General features: G+C 54.5%; 2 long non-coding RNA genes across 3 annotated transcripts, besides 1 other annotated feature; one reads left to right on the top strand and one right to left on the bottom strand.

Annotated features, from left to right (window-relative positions):
* Nucleotides 1-10688: 10688 nt before the first annotated feature.
* Nucleotides 10689-13783, bottom strand: HAR1A (highly accelerated region 1A). Its single transcript, NR_003244.2, has 2 exons — nucleotides 11821-13783; nucleotides 10689-11520 (listed from the first exon to the last, which is right to left on the bottom strand). It is a non-coding gene; the product is annotated as a highly accelerated region 1A (long non-coding RNA).
* Nucleotides 12318-12707: a silencer, noted in NCBI's record as "silent region_13146". NCBI's record gives its function as "represses an Ori minimal core promoter by ATAC-STARR-seq in GM12878 lymphoblastoid cells {active_cell/tissue: GM12878}" and the evidence as "EXISTENCE:reporter gene assay evidence [ECO:0000049][PMID:35858748]".
* HAR1B (highly accelerated region 1B) lies at nucleotides 12756-19582 on the top strand. 2 transcript variants are annotated; one of them, NR_152601.1, is made up of 3 exons: nucleotides 12756-12960; nucleotides 18892-19038; nucleotides 19162-19582. It is a non-coding gene; the product is annotated as a highly accelerated region 1B (long non-coding RNA). The 2 variants fall into 2 exon arrangements; NR_003245.1 differs by having other exon boundaries at nucleotides 18892-19582.
* The last annotated feature ends 1186 nt before the right edge of the window (nucleotides 19583-20768 follow it).

Genomic DNA, 20768 nt, shown 5'->3' with positions numbered 1-20768 from the left:
CCGTAGCTTTACCCTGGACTCTTAGGCAGCTGTTTGGGAGTCTCGCTTGCAGAATTTACCAGAATGTACAAAACCAAAACAGATTATTTGCTTCTCACCCCCGTCTCTGCCAACGCATTCAGAAAAGTCACACTTATGCAAACATTAGAGCCGTCGACTCCCCGCTCCTCAGAGCCCCATGACAAACATCCTGGAGTGTGACCGCAAAGGTCATGCGTGCCAGACAGAAGAGACCAGCATCTGCAAGAGGCAGGGATCTGGGAGTGTCTGGTGGCCACCAACTGCCAGCACTCCCCAGAAGCTCAGCAAGTATTTACTGAGAAAGGAGGGGCCTCTGTCCTCTTTTGGTGACCACGTTTACAAATGAGAAAGTGCCTTGAAAACCACGAATATTGGAAATGTCACGGCTGGTTTAAATCTAAGGAGCAGGTGCCGTCAGCTCCAGCCACTTCCCTCAGGCCTCGCCACCTCACCCAGCCCAGCGGAACCCCACCTGCCCAGAGCCTCTGCCTGAGGCCTGGAGCAGCCTTAACCCATGACGCGCTGGGGGTATCAGGGCAAAAACATGCGGCTCCCTTGCCCCTCCGGCGGGAAAGTTGAGGCGCACGGGCTGTCCTGGCTCCCCGAACATCCCTGCAGCCACAGCCGATCCTGCTGCAACCTTTATCGGCCACACTCCCTTCCTTCCCCACACCCTACCGGATTTCCTAAGATCACCCCCTACACAAACAAGTTGCCCTCCAGTGTGTCTCTGGGGGACCCAAACCAAAGTGCAGGTCTCAGGTGTCAATTCTGAGCATGGTGACAGCCTGGCTCCCTGGCAGGAGCAGAATCCAAGCACCTGGAAACCCCAGCACCCGGCCATCCCCACGCGGCTCCCTGAAGACGGAGCTTTTGGCAGCAGCCAGTGTGTGGGCCCAGGGTTACTCAGCCTGTTTCGTTCCCCATGCTCATTCATAAAGATGCACTCTTGGCCTCTCTGAGTGCTGCTGCCTTATGAGCCAGACGTTTATTCAGAAGCAATTTTATGTTCCCAAGTATCATTATTCCCACTTAAAGGCCCTGGATGCCCTAAACAAACATTTCTCAAAGATGATCATGACATCTTGCTTTACCTGCTATAAAAGAAAGACCAAGAAAATTAAAATTCCCCTGGAAATAGATGTGGAAGTGCACCCTGAAATTGCCAACTCATTGATTGCATTAAATTCCCAAATCTACATTGCATGCAATTACTTTTTTTTTAAAATAGACTCTTAAACAGCAGTTTTACTTTCTTTTTTTTCTTTTTTCTTTTTCTTTTTCTTTTTTTTTTTTGAGAGAGTTTTACTCTGTCACCCAGACTGGAGTGCAATGGCACAATCTTGGCTCACTGCAATATCCATCTCCTGGGTTCAAGCGATTCTTGTGCCTCAGCCTCCTGAGTAGCTGGGATTACAGGTGCACACCACCATGCCTGGCTAATTTTTGTATTTTTGGTAAAGACAGGGTTTCACCATGTTGGCCTGGCTGGTCTCGAACTCCTGACCTCATGTGATCCACCTGCCTTGGCCTCCCAAAATTCTGGGATTACAGGCATGAGCTCCCGTGTGCTCAGCTAATTTTACTTTCAAACCATCTGTGAAACATTGGTGGCAGGCATCTGGGTTGCACAAAATGAGATAAAGAGAGTGATTCTGGGGAAGGGGCCTTGCCAAGGTCACCGAAGGCCATTTGCATGCAGAGGGAGGCAGAGATTTGGGCAATTGTGCGGAGAGTCTGTGAGGTCTCCTCACAAGCCCCCAGTCTGATAGGAACTCTGGTACAGCCCTGGCCTGTCCGAGTTCTTCAGGAAGCAAGGCTGGCAGGACGTCCTGGGCCCCATCACTCTGCCTGATTCTAGCCGTGCTAGGGGCCCTTACACTGAGCTGAACTCGCCTGGACTCACAGCACCTGAGGCACAGTGTCACCTTGAGCCTGGCTCCCCTGGGAAGGGCAATTCAGACGAGGCCTCCTTCCTTGCATGGCCCGAAGAGGAGGGGTTGAACAGGACAGGAGTTGAAGTCTGAATTCTAGTGCATCCGACACCCCACCTGGCCCTCAGCCTCAGTCCCTCCATCTGGAAAATGGATCAGCAGGCCACATTCCAGGGCCTGAGGACCCGCCGTGGAGTGCCCATGAGAAGTGAGTAAAGTCCAAGTGGGGGGCCCTTGTTACTCTTGGCCACAAATGCCTCTCGGGCCTCTCCTTCTGTGGCCCCACCCCTCCCAGCCTTCCCTTCAAGGTACCTTCCTGCTGTCCATGCCCTGCACCATCCTTGCATCAGGGACTCCACGTGTCTCAGTTCTCTCCCTCACCAGGCGTGAACTTGTGGCAAAGACACTGTTTCTGTCCAGTTTGGTTCACAGCCAAGGCAGTGTTGGTCAAAGCTGGCACAGGGAGAGTCCTTCCTTGGGCTGTGGGGGCAACAGAGGTGGCCATGGGGCACCTGTGAGAGCACTCCCTGGCATGGTCCAGAGTGGCCAGGTACAGCACAGCCCTAACCCACCATTCCCACCTATGTCTGTGTCTAGATCCCAAGATGAACCTTGCATCAAAAGCTCCTGGATCAACAGCTGCTTTGCCTGCTGTTCTCCTCCACCACGGGGTCTGTGCAGTCACCAGGATTACATACTTACTGCACGCATGCTGTTTCCATCAGTGCTGTGTGTGTGCATGTGAGACACATGCAGGTGGGAACAGATTTTTAAATTAGGATAGAGAAAAATAGAATATTGTGTGTTTGTAGACACAGTACAGATTTTAAAAACTGTAAATCACACCAAGCACTTTATGTTAGTAAATTGGAAAATACTGATAAAATAAATAATTTTACAAAAACTATGGTAAAATTGACTCAAAAATACAAAAGAAGTGAACAAATCAGTTACCACTGAACAAATCAAAATGGTAACTGAACCTCTCTCCCTCTATCTCACACACGCACACCTCTGGATCCAGGTTTTATAGGCAAGTTTCACCAAACTTTCTAGGAATAGTAAATATCTGTCTTTAAAAGTTTTTCATGTAAGGAAACTACCCAAGTAATGTGTAAGTCTAGTATAATATTGATATCAAAACAGGACAAGGACTAAAGAAACACTAGAAAATCAAGTCCATCCATATATAAAACAGTATGTCATGAAGAGGAATGCAAAGCTGGCTCAATCTCAGAAACACTTTGTTTTAAACCACATGAACCACTGGAAGGAGAACAGCCATGTGATCACCTCAACAGAGGCAAGAAAATGCAGTCCACAAATTGCAGCGTTAATCAGATAAATTCTCAGCAAGCTAGGGATACAAGGCAAAAAAAAATACAGCAAACATCATAACATTTAATAATAGAACTTTGGAAATATTATTGCACAAGTCAAAAAGGCCCATTATCACACTTATATTTAGTTTGTATTAGAGGTCCTAGCCAATATCACAAGACAAAACAAAAAAGACAAGGACTAGGAATTGAGGGAGAGACAAATAGTCCTTTCTCGTATAGAATATAATTGCACAGAAGCTCAGAGAAATATGCAGCTAAACTATGAGAACTAATCAGCAAAGTATAGGCTTCATGTACAAAAATCATTATCATCCCTATAAAAATAATAAAGAACAATTAAAAGTAATTCCCTTTGCAATGGGGAAGAAAGATATGAAGAGTCGCCCATCAAGGACACATGTGATCTTTGTGAAGGCCACTGAGGATGGCCTGGTCATGTGGACATGTGTGCCGTGGATGTAGGAAGACATGCAGCATGCAGGTGCCAGCACTCCTCAGATTTGCCTCTGAAGTCATCACGTTCCCATCAAAACCTCAAAGGATACTCAAAAGGGGGTGAATTGGAGACTTCTGTTTCCACCAAAATGGAGCGGCCCAATCTTCCTGGATCTTCCCACTAAAACCCAAAAGTCCTGCACATAACACAACCAAGGAGCCTAGAAGGCCACCGCCTGGGAGCCTCCAGACTCAGGATGACGTGGTGCTGAGTGCCCTGGGTTTCCTTATTGCCTCCCACACATCATAGACAGGACACTGCAGTGGCCTTCAACCTGCAGTCATCACTGACAGAGTAAAACTCTCCAGGAGAAGCCTGGAGCTTTCCTCCCAGCCAAAGCATGAGGAGAGGGTGGTCAAACAACAGAGCCCCCTTTAGGCATTGTCATCCCTACTCTAGCCAGACACCAATGTGGTTTCAGAGAGGCCACTCCACCTCACCCCCACCCTGCAGAGGCAGGTGGCAGTTCTCTGATGTCCTCACTCAGTGGTGTCGACCGGCTGAGCAGAGAGTGGATCATTTATCCCCTGCATGGTGGAAATAGGTGGTGACCCAATCTCTTATGGGATGGGGTCAGCAGGGCCTAGTGGGGAACTGAGCCTCCACACCCTCCCAGGAGCATATGAGAAAGATTATACATCCTGACTAAGTTTGATTTATCCCAGGAATGCAAGGACGATTCCACGTATAAAACTCAAGCACCAAAATAGGCCACATTAATAAAACAAAGTTGAGAAATCCATATGGTCATCTCAACTGAGGCAGAAAAAGCATTTGAAAACTCCAACACCCTTACATGACAAAATACTTGGAAAACTAGGAATACAAGGGCATTTCCTCAATACGATTGATCTGGTTTGAATATATATCCCTGCCCAAATCTCCTGTTGAACTGTGATCCCCAGTGTTGAAGGTGGGGCCTGGTGGGAGGTGTTTGAGTTGTGAGGGTGGATCTCTCATGGCTTGGTGCTGTCCTCGAGATGGTGAGTGAGTTCTCGTGAGATCTAGTTGTTTAAAAGTGCGGCATCTCCCCACCCCCTCTTGTTCCTGCTTTTATCATGTGACCTGCCTGCTCCTCCTTCATCTTCTGCCGTGATTCGAAGCTTCCCGAGGCCTCCTCAGAAGCTGAGCAGATGCCAGCACCACACTTCCTATACAGCCTGCAAAACCATGAGCCAATTAAACGCCTTTTCTTTATAAATTACCCAGTCTCAGGCATTTCTTTATGGCAATGCAAGAATGGCCTAATACAATGATAAAGGGCATTTATGGAAAACCCACATCTAACATTATATCCAGTGGTGAAAGACTGAAAGCTTTCCGCCAAGACCAGGAACAAGGCAAGGATGCCCACTTTCACCACTAATATTCAACATCATACTAGAAGTTCTAGCCAGAAAAATGAGGCAAGAAAAAGAAATAAAAGGCATTCAAACTGGGGAAAAAAGAAAAAAAAATCTCTATTTGCAGATGACATTATCCTATATACAGAAATCTCCAAAATATTTACAAAAAAAAAAAAAACCCTTTAGAGCAAATGAATGAATTCAACAAATTTGCAGGGTGCAAGATCAGCACACACAAATCAGTTGTGTTTCTATACACCATCCATGAACAACCTGAAAAGAAGGTAGGAAGCAATTTCATTTATAATCTCACCCAAAAGAATAAAATACCTAGGAATGAAGTGGAAAGATATCTCATGTTCATGGATTGGGGGCCTTAATATTAAGATGGCAATATTATCCGTAATGATCTACAGACTCAATGCAACCTCTATCAAAATTCCAAGGATCATTTGCAGAAAATGAAAACCCAATCCTCAAATTTATATGAAATTTCAAGGAGATTCAAGTGGCCAAAACAATCTTGAAAGAGGAGAAAAAAATGGAGGACTGATATTTTCTAATTTCAAAACTTAGAACAAAGCCACAGTAGTCAAAATAGTATGATGCGGTCATCAAGATAGACATATAGACCAATAGCATAGAATCTATTTCAGAGAAAGCCTATATATCTATGGCCAACTGATTTTCAACAAATGTGCCAAGACAATTCAATAGAGAAAGAATAATCTCCTCAACAAATGGTGCTGAGACAACTATATATTCACAAGCAAAAAAAAATCATTTACCTCACACAATATACAAAAATAAACTCAAAATGTGTCAAATATCTTAATGTAAGAGCTAAAACTATAAAACTCAGAGTAAAATGTTAGAGGTAAATCTTTATGACCTTGGATGTGGTAATGAACTCTTAGATAAGACACCAAAAGCACGAACAAGACAAGAAAAAAAATTCAGTTTCATCAAAATTAAAAACTTTTGTGCATCAAGGGGTATTATCAAGAAAGTAAAAAGACAATCTATAGAATTGGAGAAAATATTTGTCAATCACATATTTGATAAGAGACTCAGGTCTAGAATGTTTAAATAATTCTTATAACTCAACAACAAAAAGACAGACAACCCAACTATAAATGAGCAAAGGACTTGAATAGACCTTTCTCCAAAGAAGATATACAAATGGCCAATAAGCCTGTGAGAAGATGTTCAACATCTTTAGTCATTAGGAAAATGGAGATCAAAATTACAAAGAAATACAACTTCAAATCCACTAGGATGGTCATAATAAAGGTCATGGAAAATAACACGTGTTGGTGAGGCTGCAGAGCAGTTAGAACTCTTGCGCCTTGCTGGTGGGAATGGTGCCGAATATAGACGATATACATATATATGGCTGGAAGTTCAAGATCAAGGCGCCGGCAGGTCCTGTGTCTGGTGAGGGCCAGCTTCCTGGTTCATCCATGGTGCCTCCTCTGTGTGTCCCCACATAGTGCAGGAGGTGAGAGGTCAGTCTGGGGTTCCTTTTCGAAGGGCACTAATCCCATTCAGGAGGGCCCCACCCCCATGGCCTAGTCCCCTCCTAAAGGCCGCACCTCTGAATACCATTGCCTTGGGTGTTCTAATTTCAACATAGGAATTTGGGGGACACATAAACATTCGGGCTATAGCCCTGGGAAAGAACTGCAAAACAAGACTACAAGATTTTGTATTATTGGCTGATTTTATGGCCCTTGCCACCTCACTCACACATTATGAATAAGGAATTATGCTGAAATGAGTGGAGTTGCTTGGCTAGAGGTCCCTGCAATCCAGGGAAAGAGACGTGTCTATTTCTTGCCCTCTGGGTCCCACCATTGGGGGCGGGGGTGACTGCCTGGAAGGTGGCTCCCGCCCAAGGGCCCTTTTGAAGCCGAGCCTCAGTCCAACCTGAGGGGACCGGAGCAGGGAGCAGCCCCTCCAGCTGCAGGGAGGCTCCCTTTGTGGGCAGTGGTCTCCATGTCCTGGGGTCAGGGGTGCTGTCAGGGGTCATCTGGGAAATGGGGTTCTCACCAGAAGCCTCCCTCCCTCCTCAGTTCTCTGCCCCACCTTCCCTCAAGTAAAACAATTCCCTCAGGGTTCACAGTTGATCACAATTAATGAGCCACCAGCAGCTCTGCTCCCCTGGAGAGTATCAGTCTGAGAAAGAGGAAAGTAGGGACTCCAGGGAGATGCAGCTCCCACGCCCATCCTCCTGACATGACCCTTCTGGGCCAGAGAATCGAGGAGGGTCCATGGGGTAACCCTTCCCCACCTGGAGTGGAGGGAGCCGCATTGTCTGACCCCAGCACCTGGCACTGAAGCTGGGCTACCCCTACCCTTCCAGCCACTGGAGAGCTTCTCTGAAAGCACAAAGCAAACCCTACCCATCCCCTGCTGGAAACCTTGCCAGGCATCACCAGGGATGTCTCACACAGCATCCTGTCCCCATCACTGCTGGCCCCTGTGTCTCCATCTCTCCAGCTGTCCCCAGTCCAGCCTCACTGCTGCCTTCTGGGTCTGAGGTCACTCCTGCTGGATGGCTTCAACCTGACATGGTCTTTGGAGTCCTCAGCTCCCAGATGACCGCACAGGTCCCAGCTCAGGTGTCCCCCGCTCAGAGGTGGCTGCCACACATGCAACCCCTCCCAGCATGGGCTACCCGTTGTCTGCTTTCGCCTTCTTTGGCCCCTCCCTGCTCTAGAGCCATCCTCCTGGAGTGACAGCCACATGAACGGAACTGGGGTCACCACAGTTCCCTCACCGTGTCCTCAGCCAGAGTGGGAGTCTGTTCTGTGCTCTTGGACTCACTGGAGGAATCAGGGTCGATTGGTGTCAGAACCAGTGGCTGCCTCCACAAACCACAAAATGAGCCCTTAAAACAGTACGACGTGTCGTCTTCCTGTCCTGGAGGTCAGAGCGGGTCTCACTGGGCTAAAATCTTGCTGTCTGCAGGGCTGGCTCCTTCCAGAGCCTCCCGTAGAGAACCTGCTTCCTGCCACCCCACCCTCTGGAGCCGCCCGCATCCCTTGGCTTGTGGCCCCTCCTCCATCCTCACACTGCAGCTCGCTGACCTCTGCTCCCATGGCCTCACTTCCTGCCTCGCTCCTATAAGGAGGAAGGAACATAAATAAAATATATAAATACAGATTACATACAATTAGGTTTATTTTATATGTAAAGAGATTATGGCATAGAATAGAATTATACAGGGATGACCTCCTGGCTCAAGATCCTTAACTCAGTCCCACCTGCAGGGTCCCTGTGCCACGTGGGGGCAGAGTCACGGGGTCTTTAACTCAGTCCCATCTGCAGAGTTCCTGTACCACTTGGGGACAGGGTCACGGGGTCCTGGGATTGGGGCGTGGACACGTTTGGGGGACTGTTGTTGTCCTGCCAACCACAGTTTCTTCGGGTAAGAAAGAGGGGAGCCTCTTGAGGCTTGAGACATGGGGCAGAGATAGCCTCAGCCCTGGAGAACTCAGGGGACACAGGGTGTCCTCTAGGGATCTCGATTAGGATAAGAAGGGGCTGGGCGCCCTGGGGCCACTGTCCAGAGGCCTGTGAGGAGCTCATTCCCTCGACACCAGCAACGAGGCCCCTCCCAACACGGTCCCGCCCATGCCTGGCCCAGCATCCACAGATACACAAACTTCTGGGCATGCCTCCAAAACTGCCAGCAAGTGCAGGCCATCGTCCCTTCCCATGGGAAAGCAAAGGTTATGTGGAAAATATGCTTCTTGTTCGGCCTCCTTGGTCTCTAAGAAAAGCTCGGGCTGCAGGAGAGGTGTGGTTGTTCCTTAGGAAGAAAGACGGAGTGCCCACGGGGCCAGGACCCTCCAGGACCAGGTCTTCCTGTGGTCTCCCCTCCTCCAGGAGCCCCGGAGCCTGGCTCCAGCAAGCCCTTAACCTCCCACAGCCCCTGTTCTGGGTCACCTGCGCCGCCCCTACTGGGCCAGCTGCCCCCACCCTCAGCCCAGCCTTGTGGTCACCAAGCCCGGAAGCCCAGGGAGGTCCGAGCTGCATGGCAGGTGCCTCCTGCAGATTCGGAGAGCGGCTGGGCATGTTTCCTGCCACATCCCCTCCTGACTCTACCCACCCCCACGCCCCAGAGCATAGAGGTCCTCCCTGTGCCCATGTCCCAGTCCAGGTCTCCCAGGGGGATGCAGGAATGAGTTTCTGGAGGGTGTTGGCCAGACTCGGCTTCCTGCACCTTCTGCTGTGCTCCTCCTGAAACACTGACTTGGGCGGGAGCGCAGTGGCGTTCTGTGGGAGGGTGGGGGTGGGGCAGATCCGGGGTTATGTTGTGGCGGAGGTGGGGTTGCCAGGCTGGCCCAGTGCAGAGGAGGGTGTCAGGAAGTGGAACAGGCTGACCCCGTGGGCGTTGAGGCACCGGGCAAGGCATAGGGCCTGTGATTGACAGGAACCCCCAAGTGTTCGATGGGGTCTGACCCGGCCGGGCCGGGTCCACGTGTTATTTGGGTCTAGCGGCCACCAGGCTGAGAGGCCTCAGTCCACAGATGGGGGATCTGAGCTCCCATGCAACATCAGAGGCACACAGCCCACAGTCCCCGAGCGGCCAAGGCTGGCGGGATGGCGGCCACCACATTGAGAGCCGTGGGCCCGGCCAAGACAGGCACAGGCCTGGCGAACCTCTGAGCACTGCAGGAGAGTCAGCACTTCCCAGGAATTTCTATTTTTCAATTTTGCACACTCCAGGGGCTGGCCCAGAGAGACCAGACTGGGAGGTGGCCTCTGCGTGGGCACAGGCCAGGGGTCAGCGGTTGCCTCCTGTTCACACCAGGCCCCTCTTCTGAGTCCTGGGAGGGAGGAACAGAGGGCGGCAGCAATGATCCGTCCACACAGAGAGTGGGCGGGGAGCAGGCCCACCCCGGGGCCAAGACTGTTGGAAGAGGAGTGGTGACATCGGCCAGGAGGAGCGTGTGGCCCCAGGCTCAAGTCCCCGGCATGGCCCAGCGTCCAGCAGGCCTCAGCTGCAGAAGTGCCATCTGCTCCCAGCAGGGTCTGTCCACACTCCTGGAACCCAGGGGAGGTAGGGGCACCACCGCGGGGCTTTCTGAGGGCAGTGCTGCCCTCCCTGCCCCAGCCGCTCTCCCCCAGGGCAGCTCGTGGGCATGTCCCTCTGCCATGGCCTTTCCTGGTAACACCACAGTGGGGCCAGGCAGGGCAGCGGAGTGGCAAAGTCAGAGTCCTCCTTTTCAGGCAGGCTTGCTCCTCTGTCTGCCCTTCACAGGTCAGATTGCGTGGGCAGTGAGTGGCACATGGTGAGGGCTCCTGGGGGGGCAGGGGTGGGAGAAGAGCTGGGGAGGAGGGCACTCAGGGAGCCATTGGCCCCCAATGTCCTGGGAAGCCTGGGGTCTGGATCCTGAGAGCCATGGGGAGCCTCAGAGCAGGGGTCAGCAATGCCTCCAGCAAAGGGCCGGAAAGAATCCAGCTCCGTCTGTAGCCTCCTGGTATGTGCCTGGACACACGAGCAGCCATGGACAATATGAGAAAGAGTGAGCATGGCTATGTCAATAAAACTTTATTTATGGATAGCAAAGTTGACTTTCATAGCATTCTCATATGTCACAAATATTAATGTTTTGATTTTTTTCCAACCATTTTTAGCTTGTGGGCCCCAGAAACACAGCAGTTGGCCTGACCGTGGCAGACATCATTAATCAATCCTGCACACTCTCCAGCTCAGCCCCGTCCCTGATCCCAGGGGGCTGCTCCACAGGACAGCAGGAGCCCCCAAGCCAGACTGGAGGTCCTGGGGGTAACCTGGGTGCTCAAGGCTCGCTCTGTGTGTTGCCACCTCCGTTTGCACCCAGACCCTCCTGTGACGTGGCTCAGCAAACCTCTTAAATGGGTCATTGGATGCTAAACTTGAACTTTCACAGGGCGGGGTTTCTTCAAACGGGACACACCAGAGTCCAGGCCAGGCTGGAATCCTGCTGCCGGTGCCTGACCCAGATCAGGGATTCCAAACACCCATGGGGCCCCTGGTCCCGCCCTGAAGCCAATTCCAGCTGCCCCCAGGAGTGTGAGGGGCCTGGGGGTGTCTTCCTGGGAGCTGCCAGGTGTGAGATTGACCCAAGAAATGGGACCACAGGAACCCAAAAAGCTACAGCTGGGTGGCCAGGTCCACCATCCACGCCCTCAGGTCCACCAGCCACGCCCTCAGGTCCAGTCTTCTAAAGGTCAAGGGTCTCTGACCAGGTGGAGCAGAGCACGTGACTGGGCAGCTCTTCTCTGCCTGGAACGCCCATCTTCTGTCTTGAGGCAGAAAAATCTATTTTAGAGGGTTTCCAGGCCTGGCTCCTCAGAGGTGCGGGAAGATGTTCAGAGCTGAGACTCTGGAGGGAACGGAGGGGCAGGGACATCCCAGCCTCATCCACAAAGGCCCCCTGCACGACGATCCTCCCTCCCGCTCTGCTCCTCTGCTCCCCGCTCCTTCCTCCTTCCTCCCCGCTCCCTCCTCCCCACTCCTCCTTCCTCCCCGCTCCCTCCTCCCCACTCCTTCCTCCCCGCTCCCTCCTCCCCGCTCCCTCCTCCCCACTCCTCCTTCCTCCCCGCTCCCTCCTCCCCACTCCTTCCTCCCCGCTCCCTCCTCCCCACTTCCTCCTCCCCAATGCTAGAAACAGGCCCCTCCGCACCTTGCCCTGGCTGCAGAACGCAGCTTAATTACATGGTCTGCGGGTTGGGGCCCTGAGCGAGGCTGGGGCTGGTTCTTGGCCAAGACGCCTCCCCAGCCGGCTCAGCCTCCATCAGAAGCGGCAGCTCTGATTGGCCACCGTGCACCGCGTGGAGCGCCGTTCCTCGCAGCGAGTTCATGAGGCATTTCACTGGGGGCCCGGGCACCCGCCTTGACATCAATTACGCCAAAATTAAGTGGCAGCGTCCACTGCGTGGGGCCCGAGCTGTGGGGCCTCTTCCGTCTCCCGGAGCCCAACCGCGGGCCCCTGCGCCCCGGCAGGCAGGATCTCACCGCAGGGGCGGCGGTGGGGAGGGGAGGTCAGGCCCGCTTCCCCGGAGCGGCCCGCAGCTCCCGGCCCAGGTTCCCAGGCTGCAGCGTGAGGGGCGCGCAGCGGGGCCGGGTGGGCTGGGGCCGGCGCGGAAAGCCCTCGCCCTGAAAGCCCAGGCCGGCCCCAGCCCACGGCGCTCGCGCCCACCGTGCCGCGCGGGCCACCGCCCACCCGGGGGCTGGTTAGAAACGCGGACTCTGCCCCTTCGCGCCGCCTCCGGGGCTCACGGGCGCCCGAGTCGGAAGCCCCGCCCTGGGGAGGCCGGTCTCCTCGCGAGGGCCTGGGCCGCTCTGGGCGCTCGGCCCGCGTGTCGGGGGCTCCCCGGGGCGCCCTGGGCTCCTGCTGCTGTTTCTTCCTGGCCGGCCTTGAGGTGCGGAGCCCCCGGGCTCTGCTGAGGGCCTCCCGGCCCCGTGGCCTCGGTGACCTCGGTTCAGGCGTCCGTGACCGTCTCGCCTGGTGGCTCCGCGCCGCTGACCTCGGCACGCCGCGGGCCTTCCTCCTCTTGCGGACCGGAGGGAGAGCCGGGCGCAGAGACCGAGGCACAGTCGCGCGGCGCGGCGTTCCGCGTGACCCTGCGGTTAAAACCCGCGCGCTGCAGCATCGCGGAAAACGGGATTCGCCTCATTTGAAACTTGAGGAAAATCTCTAAACACTTTCATTTTGATAGAAACCATTTCCGCCGCTGACGTGCGTCTACGCCCATCATTTCAGCTGACACGTTGCTGTAACGTCTCCTCCGTTTCATGCTCTTTCGAACCCTGTCAGCTGCGGGTAAGACTGTAGAAAAGAGAGGGGAGAACAGGGCCCAGCCGGTGGCGCCGGCGTCTTAGCAGCCGATTGCGCAGCTCCCGGGCGCGGCGGAGAGTCCGGGCTCGTGGGGAGCGCCGGCTCCAGAGCCCGCGGAGCAGCAGCCCAGACTCCCAAGACGGAGGGCACCGGGCGGGCGCACACACTAACCCACGCAGGGGACACTCAGGCTCTAACTCACGTGCACACACGCTCACATGTACACACGCACACACGCACCCGGACGTACACACACAGCTGTCGCCTACCACACACATTCATACTCCATTCACACTGCAGGATGTGCAAATGTGTGTGACAGAGAGAGGAGGGAGAGAGAGGGGGAGAGAGAGGGAGAGAGAGGGAGAGAGAGGGAGGGGGAGAGAGGGAGAGGGAGAGGGGGAGAGGGAGGGAGAGGGAGGGGGGAGAGAGGGAGAGGGAGAGAGAGAGGGAGAGGGAGAGAGAGGGAGAGAGAGGGAGAGAGAGGGAGAGAGGGAGAGAGAGAGGGAGAGAGAGAGAGGGAGAGAGAGAGAGAGAGAGAGAATGTGCCTCTCAGGAATGGTCAAATATCCTCCTGACACACCTGGTTGGCCCAATGCAGGGACAGAGAGGGGGATGACCTGATGGCTTTGCCTTCCACCCACCCAGCGCCTGCCCATCAGTACAGCAGGGCTGCCCTGCCCGCCTGCGACCCACCTTTCCCGACAGCCTGTGTGCTTTCTCCCCGAGTCTCCAGGACAGCCCACTAGTGGCATGGCGGTTCCCTGGGTGGGAGGAGCGGAACCCTTCAGGCCCCCTCAACACTCCCCCAAAACCTCCCTGGGGGCCCCCACTGGCTTCAGCGCCCTGCAAAAGGCTGACTAGGATCCATGTGCACACTCCGTGTGCCACTGCTGCCAGGGCCCCCAGCCCCAGGCTGCCTCCCTCCCTCTCTGTCAGGAGCTGGGTTGGCCTGGGAGGGTTGTGGTGCCGCTGACTGCTCCCGGGCAGGGGCCATCTCATCTCTGTTCTCACCGTGCAGGCAGCAGCAGGAAGGGAGGCAAAAGGAGGGAGTGGGGAGAAGGAGGGGGCGCTGACCACATGAAGAGACGCTTCTTCCCTGGTGCTCCATCTCCCTCCCCGTCCCCCAGTGGACACCCTGGACCAAGCTGAGCCCACAAGGGTGCCCACCCTGCATGCTTGTCCCCATCAGCTCCGTGTGGCCCCCTCAGGCAGTTTCCACAGTGAGCTCAGGTGCAGCAGGGGTCCCGAGCACAGAAATGACCAGGAGACCCTGGCCCTGCCCCTGGGGCCCTAGAAACAGCTCCTGCTCTTGAATTCCCCACCCCTGTGTGCTCAATTTCTCTGGGCCTCTGGGTGCTTTTGAGGTTCCTGGCATTTACCAAGGAGAAAGATGCAGGAGGGGAGGCTGCAGGGCTGTGGGGATGGTGAAGTCCAACCCAGCCACCCCCAGCAGGATGGTGTGTGGGGCCGGACACCTACCAAGATCTCTTCCCAGCTTTTCTGTGGGAAGGAGCCGGCCAGGGCCAGAACCCTGGCTGAGACATGAAGCTAAAAGTGCCTGAGGACTTGGTCCCAGGTCTCTGTCCTCCTCCCCAAATGCCTCCGGAGCCTTCATCTCTTCAGGCACCTCACTCACTTCCACCCAACCCCGCCTGCCCTGGGCGGACCCTCCCCCAGCTCTGCCCTCCCCCACACCCCAAACCCACCCTCCCCATTCTGTTAAAACAAAGCCCCTCTTAGCAGGGTATGTCACGTGGCGCTGCCGAATTATTCCATTAATTTATTATTCATGATGAAAAATTATTCTAATAACATTTCCATACTATTAATATTCCAAAGACGAGCCGTTGAGAGCCCCTTCCTGCGGCCTCCTCTTGGCGAGAGCCAACTCTATTTTTAACAAAGTGTATTGAAATTTAAATCTAATCACCCACAATATGCTACGTTTCACAAATACGCTCTCAAAGAGTCTGTGAGAGGAGCCAGGCCCGGTGGTCCCGGAGGAGGCAGGCGGGTGGGCCCCTGCCGTGGGCGTTGGAGGTGCCATTCTCGGCTGCCCCCAGCCCTGCAGATGGAATCTCTGTGCCACAGCCCCTTTCCTCACTGGGGGAGCCGGGCCAGGCGACCCCTCCTTGCTGCTTCTCTCCCTCCCTCCTTCCTTTTTTTCCTTGTCCCACCCCTCAGTCCATCCAGAGACTCTCAGAGTTTGGCTCTAGGCAGGGGGTATACGGGGGTCTCTAACGGGAGCTGACGTCTGAGGTCAGGCGTCCTCAGGAGAGGGTGGAGCCGCTCCCTGGCTGAGACAACCTTTTCTGACCACTCCCTCCTCCCTTTGGCTGCCTTCTCTATGTGGAGGGGTCTTTGGCCCCACCCCCAATGCACACTGCAGCCCAAGGTGGGCTGGAGTCCAGCTGCCCAGGGAGGGTCCTCATGGGCACCTTGGGGGACATCTTGTCTTGTTCCCTCTTCCGAGGTCGTGCCACATGCCTGCTGCACACAGACACCTCCGTCCATTGCTCAGTCATACGTGTACACACAGGCAGCCTCAATCATCCATCCGGCAGGGGGGGACCTCCTTCTGTCTGGGCTGGACATGGAAGAATGTCTGTGGGAACGGGAGGGTATGAACGTCACAGGAGACAAACAAGGTCTGCAGAAAATACTGAGGGAGCTGCCTTGATAGGAGGTGAAGGGGCAGGGGGAGGTGAAGGGCCAGATGTCTCCCAGGAGGGAAGGGAGGAAGAAGGACCAGGTGCCTTCCTGAGGGGAAAGACCAGGCACCTCCTTGGGATGGGAGACTTCTACAAGAGAAGAGAAGCAGCTCTTCCAGGTGGGTCTGAGGGAGGAAGGGATGGGGGTGAGAACTTGGGTTGGGGAGGACACTCTTGTCTCCATTAAACTGGAAGTAGGATGTGAGATATAGGGGCCAGTGAGCAGGAGGCCATGGAGGAGAGCAGAGCGGCTCATGGAGAGCCTGTCATCCATTCATCCATCCATTAATTCATTCACCCATTCATTCATTCATCTATCCTTCCATGCATCTGTCATCCATCCATCATCCATGATCCATCCATGCATTCACCCATCTATCCATCCACCCACTCATTCATTCATCTATTAATCCATTCACCCATTCTTTCATTCATCTATCCTTCCATGCATCTGTCATCCATCCATCATCCATGTTCCATCCATGCATTCACCCATCTATCCATCCACCCACTCATTCATTCATCTATTAATCCATTCACCCATTCTTTCATTCATCTATCCTTCCATGCATCTGTCATCCATCCATCATCCATGATCCATCCATGCATTCACCCATCTATCCATCCATCCACTCATTCATTCATCTATTAATCTATTCATCCATCATCCATTCATTTATCCATCCATCATCCATCCATCAATTCATCTATCTACTCAATTCATCCATTAATCTATTCATTCATTCATCCATCATGCATTCCTCCATCTACCCATCATCCATCCACCATCCATCATCCATCCATCTGTCCATTGCTCACTGCACCGGCTACCTGGCTTTCAGTAGGATGGGACCTTGAGGGTTCCAGTGTGTGTTGGGGTTTGGGGTAGATCTGCATTCCTAAGTAAGAGCCGGAAGAAGGGGCTGAGTGGAAGCCACATGAATTTGATCAGGGAGAAAAGGAAAGCAGGGAGGGGCTGACCTTAGACATGCTCAGAGCTGCTGTTTTGTGGGGGCAGCCAGACGTCCCCCTCTGTTAGGGAATGCACAGCCTCAGTCAGGGCACGGTCGCTCATGCCTGTAATCCCAGCACTCTGGGAGGCCAAGGCAGGTGGATCATGAAGTCAGGAGTTCGAGACCAGCCTGGCCAACATGGGGAAACCCTGTCTCTACTAAAAATACAAAAAATTAGCCGGGCATGGTGATGTGCGCCTGTAATCCCAGCTACTCAGGAGGCTGAGGCAGGAGAATCGCTGGAACCCAGGAGGCGGAGGTTGTAGTGAGCCGAGATCGCGCCACTGCACTCCAACTTGGGCGACAGAGCGAGACTCTGACTCAAAAAAAAAAAATTAAAAAAAAGGGAATGCACAGCCTCTGTGTAAAGTCCTCTCTGGTACCCACTGCACAGATGGGGAAACTGAGGCTAAAAAGAGGGTGACGCCCCCCCAAGGTGTGCAGCCAAGCAGCTCTGTCCGCATTCTCTAACCTGCCGTGGTACAGTGAGGGTGGGTGCTTGGAGAATTCATTCTCCCAGGCCTGGCCTTCAGAGGAAGAGGAGTTAGGAAACTCCCCCAGGGACCCCTGTGTGTGTATCAATGGTACCTCGGAACTGGGAGGACACAGGTGCGACAGCCCCATCCCCAGGGGAAGCCAGGGACCTTGAGGCTATGGATGGGATGCCCCTGGGCCCTGGGCATTGGGGATTTAGCCGGCCCCGCACTCCTCCTAAGCAGGACGTGGAGGGTGAGCGGCTCGAGCTGTGTCTGAATCCAGCCTATCGCCAGCCTCAGAGGCGGAGGCAGCACCTCACAGCCATGCATCTCCCCACGTGTGGGGGAGGGCCTGTCCCCTTCCCACCCCCATCCCCACCCCACTCGCCTCGTCGACGTTCCGTTGAGAGGTTTCTAATCCCTCCCCTGTGAACCCAGCGGCGGGCGGATGTGCGTCCAGGGAGTGGGCAAGGGTCCCAGCCTGGCTGCCCAGGGGCATCCTTGAACTCAGCAGCCTGCTGTGAGGGTCAGGGCTTGGCCGAACAACAGGTGGACAGTCCGAGGGGAACATGCCACCATCTGTGTCTGGGGAGTGTGGACCCCAAGCCAGGTACAGGGTTGTGACCTGGAGCAGATCTGGGCTCCATGGGCTTCCTGCATGCAGCCCGCCATTCCACCCCAGCCCCACCCTGGCCTCAGCTGTCCCTTAAGCAGGGGGGATGCTAATCCTGACCTTGGGCTTCCCTGGGGCAGAATTAGAGTGCAAGCCCCATCGAGGGGTCAGCTCGCAGGAATTTGGCAAGTGTCAGACCTCACGCCAGTGCCACCCCCTGTTGGGGTCCCAACGACGGCCACCACACTCGCTTTGGGGCCAACAGGGGCCCTGGGCCTGGGGTCGTGGCTCTGTAGGGTCCCTCTGCTCATCCTAAGCCCGCACATCCTCCAGTCATGCTCATCACACTGATCCCCATGGGGCCAAGCAGGCCTCCCGCAACCCCACCTGAGAGTGGGCACAAAAGAGCCCAACCCAGGGCTCCTTCACAGGCAGGGCCCAGCCCTGGCAGAGGCCAGCACAGCAGGGCAGGCCCCTGGTGCAGCCCCATCCCCACTGTGGCCACTCAGGACTGACTGGCTTGGAGATACATGGTCAGAGACAGAAACCAGGAGGCAGACGGGAGAAGCCATGCTCCTGAGGCCCTCGTGGGTCTCCCGGGCCGGGCCACTGTGTAGGGCCCCTCCACAGTTAGGTACAATTCTATTTGCTGAGCGGAACCAGCAGTTACAAAACAAAGTCCAGGTTTTCTAACGTGTGGAGGAGACGTGGATGCAAATGCTGGCTCCGAGCAGCTATTCTGGGCCTGGAGCCCTCCAATGCAGGAGAAGCAGGCAGCGGGCAGCAGGCTGGGCTTGTCCTGGGACAAGAGGAGTGCCAGCGAGGTGGAGGCTGGGGCCACGTGACTATCCCCATTGTTCCTGGGGCTGCCCTGTGCCCACGCCCTGCTGCTGTACATTCCTTCCTTGCTTGCTCCTGGGGAAGGCAGAGGCCCCAAGGAGCCTCCGATAGCCCAGGACCTGGGACCTTGGCCTCCTTGAGAGTCTCATCCCTCCTCCTCCGTGTGAGGCCCCCAGCCAGAGCCCAGCCCCAGGGTCTCAAGGGTCCCCTGCCTGGTGCATTATTTTTTATGCCATTTAAGCGGCCACTTTCTTCCCCAGGAAGGAACTTCTAAACTAAAAGCTGGCAAGACTCAGCAGAAAAAAAATATCGAAAGCTGCTTCTGCTGCCCCAGCTTCACTCAGGCCCTGGCTGCTCCTTCACTGGTCTACACTGCTGCCTCCTGGAACCACCCACTCTGCAACCAGGTCTGATGCCCGGTGTGGACATTCAGGGATGAGGTCCCCTGGGGCTAAATGAATGAACAGATTCTGAAAAGCAGAAGCTACGTCCGGGGGTCTCTGGGCCACAAATCACTTTCTGACCTGCAGCCGTGAGGCGTGAGGCTCACTCGGAAGCTCCCGGAACCTGGAGACTGCCCTCACTCAACACTTGAACAAGCAAGGGGCCAGGTTCAATGAAACACCTGCCCGCCCGGCACACCAGGCTCAAAAGCAAGCAAGCAAGCAAACAAACAAACAAAATCAAATCAGGCCTTCACAACTCCCCAAATCATGTGTGAGTTTCTACAGAGCAGAAGCCAAAAATATATGTTATCTAACTAGGTCCTATTTACATATATTTTTATGGCTGCTCTAAAAAATTATCACAAACATAGCGGCTTCACCCCGTTTCCCCTGTTGTGATTATTACACATTGGATGCCTGTATCAAAATATCTCATGGACCCCATAAATAGCAACACCCTGTATGTACTCATGACAATTTTTTAAAAAAGAACACTTACACTTTCCATTTCTGCAGGTTAGACGTCTGAAATGGTCTCCCTGGGCTAACATCAGGTCTTGGGAGGGCTGGTTCCTTCTAGAGGCTCCAGGGGAGAACCCCTCGGCCCTCAGTCCCATCCTCCGTCTTCAGAGCCAGTGGTGTCTCGTCACTGAGACCTGCTCTGCCCTCCGCCTCTATGTTGAAGGGCCCGAGATTCTACTGGGTCCCCCCGGATAATCCAGGGTCACCCCTCCGTGTCAGGCGGCTGACTGGCAGCCTCATGTGTCCACAGTTTCCGTGCACCGGGAGGTGGGCATGTTTAGGGGCCCCCATTCTGCCTCCCATGAGTCTGCAGGGCCTGACTTTGTAATTTGGGATCATTCTTAGGGTACCCAGATACAACAAACAAAAACGCAGCAAACAAAAACACAGGGTGCCCAGCTCAACAGGAAGTTTGGAGAAGCAGTGACTGATTTTTTAGTGTAAGTCTGTCCCAAATATTGTAGAATCCATCCAAACGCTGCCGGACACCCTGTGTCTCAGCCGCAGGATGGCCACGCTGCACACTTAGTGCGGGCCCGGAGCTGCCGGTGCAGAAGGGGGTTTCTGAGTTGGAGGGATGCAGGTGCGGTTCCCCCCCAGCTTCCTTGGGATGCCCAGTGTGGACATACAGGGATGAGGTCCCCTGGGGCTAAACGAATGAACAGTTTTTGAAAAGCAGAAGCTACGTCCAGGGGGTTTCTGGGCCTCAAATTGCGCAGACTTGCGGTGCTGGGGAGACGTTTTGCCTGCAGGCAGCAGGCTCTGAATTGCCCTTTAGCTCCCGACCTGGGGTACAGCGAGAAGGAGGAGACGGAGGCAGACCGGCACGGGGTGGTCAGGGACAGCGGTGCTGACACACGGCTGCTCAAAGATGACTTGGAACTCGAGGCCCAGCTCGTTATTCTGGGGGTGACTGGCTCCCAGTGTCTGGACGGGTCTGAGCCCCACCACAGCTGGCCTGGACTGGACTGGAAACCGTGCCCATTAACGACCCCTGGGCCACCCAGAGCCCCCAGCTCCGGAGACCCCGGGGTCTGGTTTGTGGCTGTTTGTCGCCCACGGGCCCCTCCACCAGCTCCTTTCGGTGAGTGTTGATTCAGGGAGAACCGGACGGTCAGGCACTGGTTTACTCTCTGGAGGAAAGCAGGAAGCTGAGAAAAGCACTTCAC

Source organism: Homo sapiens, chromosome 20 (genome assembly GCF_000001405.40).
Source record: "Homo sapiens chromosome 20, GRCh38.p14 Primary Assembly".
NCBI classification, from domain to species: domain Eukaryota; kingdom Metazoa; phylum Chordata; class Mammalia; order Primates; family Hominidae; genus Homo; species Homo sapiens.
The sequence above is the reverse complement of the archived record's forward strand: the minus strand, read 5'-3'. Positions and strand labels throughout refer to the sequence as shown.